The sequence below is a fragment of the Homo sapiens genome, chromosome 16 (assembly GCF_000001405.40).
Source record: "Homo sapiens chromosome 16, GRCh38.p14 Primary Assembly".
NCBI classification, from domain to species: Eukaryota; Metazoa; Chordata; class Mammalia; order Primates; family Hominidae; genus Homo; species Homo sapiens.
The window spans coordinates 54652585-54662839 of record NC_000016.10 but is presented as its reverse complement, the minus strand read 5'-3'; positions in this window follow the sequence as shown (position 1 = coordinate 54662839).

Below are 10255 nucleotides of genomic sequence, written 5' to 3'. Positions count from 1 at the left end.
AAGTCTACTTCTGTCAATTTTTCAAACACATTCTCCATCCAGTTTTGTTCCCTTGCTGGTAAGTAGTTGTGATCCTTTTGAGGAGAAGAAGCATTCTGGTTTTTGGAATTTTCAGCATTTTTGCACTGGTATTTCCTCTTCTTTGTGGATTTATCTCACTTTGATCTTTGATATTGGTGACCTTCGGATGGGGTTTTTGCGTGGACATCCTTTTTGTTGATGTTAATGTTATTGCTTTATGTTTGTTAGTTTTCCTTCTAACAGTCAGCCTCCTCTCCTGCAGGTCTGCTGGAGTTTGCTGGAGGTCCATTCCAGACCCTGTTTGCCTGGGTATCACCAGTGGAGGCTGCAGAACAGCAAAGATTGCTGCCTGCTCCTTCCTCTGGAAGCTTTGTCCCAGAGGGGCACCCACCAGATGCCAGCTGGAGCTCTCCTGTATAAGGTATCTGTTGACACATGCTGAGAGGTGTCTCCCGGTCAGGAAGCACAGGCGTCAGGGACCCACTTGAGGAGGCAGTCTGCCCCTTAGGAGAGCTCGAGTGCTGTGCTGGGAGATCCACTGCTCTCTTCAGAGCCAGCAGGCAGGAACATTTATGTCTGCTGAAGCTGTGCCCACAGCCTCCCCTTCCCCCAGGTGCTCTGTCCCAGGAAGATGGGAGTTTTATCTATAAGCCCCTGACTGGGGCTGCTGCCTCTTTCAGAGATGACCTGCCCAGAGAGGAGGAATCTAGAGAGGCAGTCTGACTACCGTGGCTTTGCCATGCTGCAGTGGGGTCCCCCCAGTTCTAACTTCCCAGAGGCTTTGTTTATACTGTGAGGGGAAAACTGTCTATCCAAGCCTCAGTAATGGTGGACACCCCTCCCCGCACCAAGCTCGAGCATCTCAGGTCAGCTTCAGACTGCTGCGCTGGCAGCGAGAATTTCAAGCCAGTGGATCTTAGCTTGCTGGGCTCTGTGGGGATGGGATCTGCTGAGCAAGACCACTTGGCTCCCTGGCTTCAGCCCCCTTTCCAGGGGAGTGAATGATTCTGTCTCACTGGCATTCCAGGCACCACTGGGGTATGGGAAAAAACTCCTGCAGCTAGCTTGATGTCTGCCCAAATGGCTGACCAGTTTTGTGCTTGAAACCTAGGGCCCTGGTGGTGTAGGCACCTAAGGGAATCTCCTGGTCTGCAGGTTATGAAGACCGTGGGAAAAGCATAGTATCTGGGCTGGACAGCACCATCCCTTACAGCACGGTCCCTCATGGCTTCCCTTTGCTAGGGGAGAGAGTTCCCTGATCCCTTGTGCTTCCCAGGTGAGATGACATTCCACCCTGCTTCTGCTCACCCTCTGTGGCCTGCACCCACTGTCTAACCAGTCCCAGTGAGATGAACCAGGTACCTCAGTTGGGAATGCAGAAATAGCGCACCTTCTGCATTGAACTCAGTGAGAGCTGCAGACTGGAGCTGTTCCTATTCGGCCATCTTTGATCTATCTAAATCTTTAAATGCTTTAAACTATGCAATAAAGGTGAACACAAACTTGCTAATAAATCCTGAGAAGATACCACCTGAGGATGCATGATATTGATAAGAGCGCTTGTCCTCAAACTTGGCTGTAATCCCAGCACTTTGGGAGGCTGCAGCAGGAGGATCTCTTGAGCCCAGTTCAAGGCCAGCCTGGGCAACATGGCAAGACCCCATCCCTACAAACAACATTTTACAAATTAGCTGGGTGAGGTGGTGCATGCCTGTGGTCCCAGCTACTTGGGAGGCTGAGGCGGGAGGATCACTTGAACCCAGGATGTCAAGGCTGCAGTGAACCATGATCAAGCCACTGCACTCCAGCTTAGGTGAGACAGTGAGAACCTATCTAAAAAAAAAAAAAAAGAGAGAGAGAGAGAATGAGAGACTAAAAGTGAGGAAATCTTTGTTTAATTATTTGCTCTGGCATTTCCTACCTGTAAGCTTATTAACCATCCTAGTTTTCTGACACTCTCCTAGTTGTGGCACTGAATGTTCTGTGTCCTGGTCAAATTGGGATAATTGGTCATCCTATGTGTGATCTTACTAAATCAGATAAAGCCTCAGAGCCTGCTAAAGTTTTCATAAGAATGAAGTAAAGTATGTTCAGATGTCTAATGTAGTACCTAGCACAGAGCAGGAATCCAAAAATGCTTAATAGTTGATTTTCAAGATAATAGTTTACAATTAAAGTCACAGTGAGTTACCACTTCACACCCACCAGATGGCTAATGTGAAAAAGACTGAAAATGCCAAAGTTGTCAAGGATGTGAAGTAAGTGGAACTTTCATGGAAAAATTGGTAGAACCACTTAGAAAAACTGTTTGGCAATAGCTACTCACCCCATGCATCACCTATGACCCAGCAATTTGCATCCTAGGTATATATCCAAGAGGAATAAATACCTGTTTTCCAAGCATATGTATAGAAGCTTCATTTATAATGGTAAAAAATTAGAAACAACTCAAAAATCCATTAGTAAATTGGACGTAGAAATTGTAGTATATTCATAAAGTGGAATATAGCAATAAAAATAAACTATTGCTACAGATAACAATATGGATGAATTTCACAAACATAATAGTGAAGGAAAAAAGTCAGATACAAAAGATACACAGTAGCATTTCATTTCATTTATATAGAGTTGTTTTTTTTTTTTTTTTTTTTAACAGAGTCTTGCTCTGTCGCCTAGGCTAGAGTGCAATAGCACGATCTCGGCTCACTGCAACCTCCGCCTCCCAGGTTCAAGTGATTCTCCTGCCTCAGCCTCCTGAGTAGCTGGGATTATAGGCACACACCACCAGGCCCAGCTAATTTTTGTATTTTTATTAGAGACGGGGTTTCACCATGTTGGTCAGCCTGGTCTCAAACTCTTGACCTTGTGATCTGCCCGCCTCGGCCTCCCAAGGTGCTGGGATTGCAGGTGTGAGCCACCGCACCAGGCCTATATAGAGTTTTAAAGACTCAGCCCCACCTACTCTTTGGTGTTAGAAGTCCAAAAAGTGGTTTCCATTGGAAAGCATGTGACCTGCAATGTTCTCTTTGTTCCAGGCATTGGTTACACCAGGATGTTCACTTTGTGGAAATTCGTCTACCTGTACAATGCTATTTGTGCACATTTCTATATAAATGGTGTACTTTAATAAAAAGCTTTTTAAAAAGACCGAAAGGTAGACAAACAAACATAGGAAATTATTAGTCTTACAGACAATACTAACTGAAAGCTTCAGTGGATCCCAAAAGGTTTTAGACAATTCGCAAATGAGATTTCTTAATGGCTTCTAAGAGACTGGGGATACTAAACACTTGAATAGGCATCTTTCTCCATTGAATGGTCTCCTGGGATCTCTCATCCTTACAGCACAGTGAACTATCTACAAGTCTAACTAGGATTACAGTCACTGTGTCCTATGCTTCTAGCTAGGTGTTTAATAGAGGGAAACTTCTCTCTTCATCTCTGCAAAGAAAGCCCAAACCTTACCAAGGCAGCATGAAGTTTCTAAGAGATTGCATTAAATTACCTAAAACAACCTGTCATATAAATCACCTTCCATCTGGCCCCACCCCTCTGAAACACAGTCCATCCACTCCTGAGAATCACCATAGACACTCTTCATCTACTTGCTGGGACTTATTTGTTAGGCTCCACCTGGCAGTTCTTAGAATTTCTGATGCTGTAAGGTATGCTAAACAAGCTGAATGCCAAAACTGCCAGATACCTACGTTAAAATGGAATTACTGGGCCGAAATCAGAAGCCATTTAAATCTTCAACAAGCTCTCACTGTGGCTCTTGATTCAGAAAACCATGGTTTCCGTGAGACCAGTGGTGTTCCTGACAGAAGTTTTGCTTGAACAGAGGAGACCTCTTCCAAGGGGTCATTTACAATAGCAAGTGCAAACGAAATGTCAAGAATCTGCAAATCTCGGTGACTTATCGCTTTGGCGGAAAAGAAGATGTGCCACAGGAGCACCTCAGGTGCATCTTCACCTTCAGGTAGGAACCAAACAGCACACCGGTGGCATTTGCTCTGGGTGTATTTCACAGTAAGCTTTGCAACGCACTTGCTTCTTTAACAGGTGAATGCATATGTCATCATCATCATCAGGAGTTACTCTATTTTTTGACACACAGTGCCCTTGCACAAAATAAGTCATTTCAGGTAAACCCTCCTCCCATGTCCCTCAGAGTCAAATTCAAAGTCTTCATGGGGTTCCCATATTCTTCCTGATCTGGCCTTGTCTTATCTTGCTGATGTCACCTCTAACCTTCCAGCCACACTGGTCCCTTGCTGCTCCTGGGACACTGTAGGTGTGTTCCCACCTTGGGACTTGGCACTGCCTAGCCCTTCTGCTTGGAACACCCTCCCGCCACATATCCTATTGTCTAATTCACTCGACCCCTCCAAATCTTTGCTTTAATGTCACCAGTTTAACGGGTCCTACCCTGACTACCCTGTCCTTTCTTACCACCACTACTTTAATCCCCTCTACACTGACTTACTTTTGTTTTACACTGTTTTCACTTAACATACCATATATTTTCTTATTTTGTTTATTTTTTATTATTTGTCTTTCTACACTAGAATGTTAACTCCACAAAGTCAGGGGATTTTTGTTGTTATCCTTTTGTTTGGTTCACCAGTGTATTCCAAGTACTTAACACGTAGTTGGCATGTAGTAGGTGCTCAACAAATATCTGTTGAATGTTAAATGCCTAAAATTTGGGGGGCTTAGCATGTACTGTTATCATGTTATGTGCTTTATATATACATATATAATACTTAGCAAACCATGAGAAGAGTAATATTATTAACCACATTTACAAATGAAGAAACTGAAGCAGAGAGAGCTGGGTTAACCTGCCAAGGGTCATACAGCTAGTAAATAATGGAGCCAGGGCTCAAGCCAAAGTCAACAGATCTTAGAACACTAGTTCTTGACCACACCGACTCAACTGACACAAGCAATGCCAAGAAGAGGTTATGCACTCGGAAGGCAAATTTTGCTTGTGGTAGACATCAGCTTGTCATTTCTGCATTTATTCTTTTCCTGGTAATTGCACCCCCATTTCCCTCTAGGAAATGATTTCTTCTTCCATTTTCCATCTCTGGGCTTCTGGTACACTGGACTCTGTTTCCTGAGCCGGAAGAGAAGCATGTGATGGGAGAAAGCCAATCAGCATGTGGCATTCCACAAGCTTTGGAGATTGGCTGAGAAGTGAGCATGTGACCTGATCAAAGTTGAGAATGCTGGGGCAAGGTGGTTTCACTTCTCCTGCAGGTTTCACTTCCTGGGAAGCTGGAAAACTGTAAGCATAGTCTTGGGAGCCTGCTGGGATGAGTCAGCCTTTGAATAGAGCCAACACCAAGGAAGTAGAGCCAATAAATAGTATGACTGGCCCTGGGTCCTGCCCACTAGGCTTGTCTGAAGCCTTGAGGTGCTGTCTGTATTCCAGCATCCCCTGTTGGTAATGGTTTCCCTCTGTGGCTGTGAGAACGTGTCCCCTTCCTCTGGTTTGCTTTTGTTTTTTCTTCCTTCTTCCTTCCTTTCTTTTTTTCTCCTCTCTCTTCCTTTCTTTTTCTCTTCCTTCTTTTTTTCTCCCTCTTTCTATTCTTTTCCTTTATCTTTTCTCCTTCCTTCCTTTTTTCCTTTTTCTTTCTTTCTTTTCTTCTCTCCGAACACTAAGCGAGTAATTAGTATGTGCTAGAAATTATGCTACATTTAAGTACATTATCCCATTTTATTTTTACGACAACCAACCATATTATATAAGAATGTTTGATATTCCCATTTTAGAGGTAAAGACACAGGCTGGGAAATTTGCACAAGATCACCCAGCTGGTAAGTGATAGAATCAGGTTTCAGAGCCAAGCAATCTAACACTGGTCCATGCACTCTTAATCACTAGATTACACAGCCTCCCTTGTGAAGCACAGGGTTATATGTTGGGCAGACCAGAGTTTATAAGGAAGAAAGGATGGCTACAAAGTCAGTCATATGTGCACGCAGGTAGCTGTGGAAAGAACAGACTAGGGTAGTGATTCGAAAGAAAGCTTTGTATTTAGGCCAGTTCTGGTTTGAATTCTCCTTCTTCCATCTACTCACTGTGTGAACATGGGCCATTAATTAACTTCTCTGAGCTCCTGAATTCTCATCTTTACAGTGAAGCTAATACTACCAGTCTTGAAAGGATGTTGCCTGATTTAACTGAGAAAATGAATACAAAGTATTCCCCCGTTATTTGGTACATAGATGAAAGCTACTATGATAATAACATTATGTATGGTTACTATTAATATTCTTCTTATTATAGTCACCCTTAGTATTCTCAGTCCCAACAGCACGAGTCCTGAAGACAGCAAGGTGTGTTTTCTCCCTTGTGATTTTAGCCAACAGTTGGCACCTAGCTTCACCCTTGGAACTGAAGACTATTTATATGCAGCTGAAAAAAATCCATTTAAGCTGTGCTGAATTTTGTCACCCTTAGGAATTAAAACGTATGATGTGCAGCCTTCAGGGTGTGACTGTATTTAAAGAGATGTTCTCAGAAATATGCACGTGTCCCAATGAGGGGTGAATTAGTCTGAGTTCCTCCCTAGGTGATGTCAAGCAAACAGTTCTTTGAGAATTAGGCAATCTGGCTACTAAACCATTGATATTGTGCCACGAGGCATAAACCTTCCCAAGCAGGAGGGTATTGTACAAATAGGAATCATCTCCCAGATCTCAGATTAATGCAGACGTGGAAAATAGCATTTTAATAAATGTATTCTCCAAATGGAGGCACTTTTATTGCAAAACCTTCCTTTTGTATCCTGAGAGAAATGGAATGTTTTGGTTAGGCATAAACAACAGTGAGAGCATTTTCTAAATACACATGTTTTCTGCATGTCAGTTTAATTACATGTTGTAGATCATTTTTGAGACTCCTTGGGGATAATAGCTCCAAAAGCAATGCTTCTCTCTGTCTTGAGCGACCAGAAGTCACGATACCTGTTTTACATTTGGCGGTTTACAGCCCCTCTCCTTCCTTCTCCACTTCCTATAACTGTTCAGTTATATTTACATTTACAAAAGAGCATTACGTTTGGGTGTCAGCATTGACGGGAAGATTATTTGAAGTTAAAACACTTTGCCAGCTTCCATTTTCTTCACAACATTCCTTTCCACTTCTGCTTTTTCTTTAAAAGAAAAAAATTCTGACTTAAGAAAACTCGATCCTTTCGGAACAGACCAGCCACAGCTATTCCTTCCTGTGCTCCTGGAATGGAGGAGTGGAGGCGAGAGGGCCGAGAAGAGGGGTGAGGGGGAATGCTAAGGGACGGCAGGGGCAAATGGGGCCTTCTCCGCAGGGGACATTCAATAACTCTCTTAGCCTTTATGCTGTAGGACAGGGGCTCATTTGCTCGATTTGGGGTGACAGCAGCCGGTTTTGTTACAGCATAGCTGGAGTTTTAAATAAGTGCAGCTCTCAGAGGCCGAAGGCAGCATTCGTTATCTTAGCCATGGGAGGGCGTGGAAATCGGCGGTGTTTTTGGCAAGGGCAGCATAAATCCACTGTTTGCAAGGCCCCGACCCAGCCAGAGAGGAAGGAATGCACAGTTTCCCTTTGACGGTGAGATTTCCTGCTTCTTGTTGGAAAGAGTGTCTGGACTCCGATGCACAAGCAAAGTCTGCATCAATTACTTGAAAGGAAACCAACCCTATTCCTGAAGGTTTGGCAGCAGAAACATTCATTGTTGAGAAAGGGGAAGAAAAAAAAGACTAATGAACTCCCCTCTCTTCGGTATTTTCAAAGGCCTCTTGTGTTAGTGGCTGCTATTTTTTCTTTTTCTTTTTTTTTTTCAGAGTTCTTAGGAACTCTCATTAGCCCCTCAATAAATGCTACTTTAAGGGCTTGTAACTTTGTCATTAAATCTTCACTCCAAGATGAATTAAGGTTGCAGCCAAGAAATGCCCTCCCCACCCCCAGTGAGCTTCTTTACAATCACCAAAAAGGCAGGAAAATAGATTTGTGGGGGATTTTTAGTACTCGTTTACGTGCCTTCCTGTCAAATAGTGATTAATTCAGGGCCACTTAAGTTTTTCTAACTTTCATCCATAATGGGCACGTTGACATTTTTATTTGAATCTCTTTACGCCATCCAAAATAATCTCCTTCAGCAACAGAAACTGCTGGTTAATTGCCACAGAGCAGCTGTTACCTCTTCTCAGTCGACAGCCTCTTTCAGGATGGTTTTGAGCTCTGTGCCTGTGGAACGCACGGGCCGGCGACAGCGTGTCAGGTGGATTGATTGAATGGCCCCCTTGTTCCCGACTAACTGTGTCTACGATGGTATCAGGGCCAAACAAAGCCCTGCACATCTAAATATAGCATTTTCTTTGGCCCCCAGCCCTCACTGTCTTGTTTTCCCATTCTTCCATGCTCTAAAGCAAATACCAGAGAGCCCCATTTTAACACGTCTTACTTTTACACGTCTTACTTGCATATTCCATGGGTCAAACTGTTCCCAGAAATAGAAGTTCATGCACAATTAATCTGATTTTCTGGTTAATTGAAGCCTCACCAGAAAACTGCTTTGAAAAATTCACTGTTGTTACAGAGTCTTCTGAAAAACGTGTTCAGACACTCTCAGGATGGCAGAGTCTTGCAACTAAAAGAGAATTTGAGGTCTAGGTGCACAAAGGGCAGTGCCTCTGGATCTAGCCAAGATACCTGGACTTTCTGCCTTCTGCACAACCCATTTCATTTTTGAACCATTTTTGTTCCAGGGTATTACTTTGTATTTCCTGCCTTGATTATTGATGAAGTGAATGGTTTTGTTGTTGTTGTTTGTTAACTTGTTTTCTTGACGACAGGCCTTCGGGATACCCTGTTGACTGTTGTCCTGTCCAAGTAGAGACCCTGAAGACGGGGTAAGAGGGAGTGAATTTTCAGGGTCTGTGAAAGATCTGTGGCCACCATAGACTCTGAGCTTCTTTTCTTATTATCTGTTCCTTTCCAAGGGTAGAGTGAATGAAACCATTAGATGAGTTCCTATTGATCAAATTTTTGCTTTACTGAACTCTAAAGATAGTCCTTACAGGTTGTTGGCATACTTGTAGTGAAGGAAAGAAAGAAAGGAAGAAAGAAAGAAAGAGAGAGAGAGAGGGAGGGAAGGAAGGAAGGCAGGAAGGAAGGAAGGAAGGAAGGAAGGGGAGAAAGGAAGGAAGGAAGGGAAGTAAGAAAGGAAGGAAGGGGAGAAAGAAAGAAGGAAGGAAAGAAGAAAGAAAGAAAGAAAGAAAGAAAGAAAGAAAGAAAGAAAGAAAGAAAGAAAGGAAAAGAAAGAAGAAAAAAGAGAAAGAAAGAAAAGGAAAAGAAAGAAAGAAAAAAGGGAAGACTAATTTAAAATAATGTCTAAATTATTTTAATATTAAATATTTTAATATCTAAATATTTAAAATAAGTATACTCTTCTCTGATTTGTGTTATAAGTTCAAATAATAGAGAAATGTGAAATATAGAAAGAGGAAATTCCCTAAAGTGTATCCTATAGGAAAAAATATCTTACAAATTACAAAAAAAGAGTATCTGGTCCATGCCTGTGTGGAGGTGGTACAGCCCTGAATCGGGTGTGTTTGCAGCTCAGGCTTCTACAGTTTCGGCTGTCAAGCCCACCATCTGCTTGCTTTGCCTTCAAAGCATTGATAGAAACTCCAATCAGCCTTCTACCTCCTCTCAGAGTCCCAGCTGAGAAAAGTGTTATTCAGGGACATCTAAAAATCCTGATTGCCATCCAGTCTACTAAACCCCTAGAGCTCTATCTTTGGATCAAGTTGGAGACCAGAAACCTGCTCATTTGTGCTGTATTTATTTAGCCAAGGTTAGGAGTTATTCAGCACACGTGTGGGCCATCATCTGCCCTCTGCCTATGGCAGGCATCTCTAACATAGTGTAGCCTCTTTTTTGCCCAGCTTAGATGTGGTCTTGAATCCTTCTCAAGATAAGACTTTGTGAGCCCACCACCAGACAACTGGAATGGGCACTAGACAGGTGCCCCTTTGCTTCACTTTTTTGCTCTGGCCCTGGCAATTTTGCAGCTCTGTTTGCTCTCACAGTTGACAGCGAACTTCTGTTCTCATTGACCCGTTATAAAGAGCCCTGAGTGCAGAATTTATTTGAAAATGAAGCATCTGGAAAATTCTTCTCTCCTTTGAAGAACTGTATACTCCAGTGAAGTGAGGCTTTGTCATTAATCGTCATCCCCTT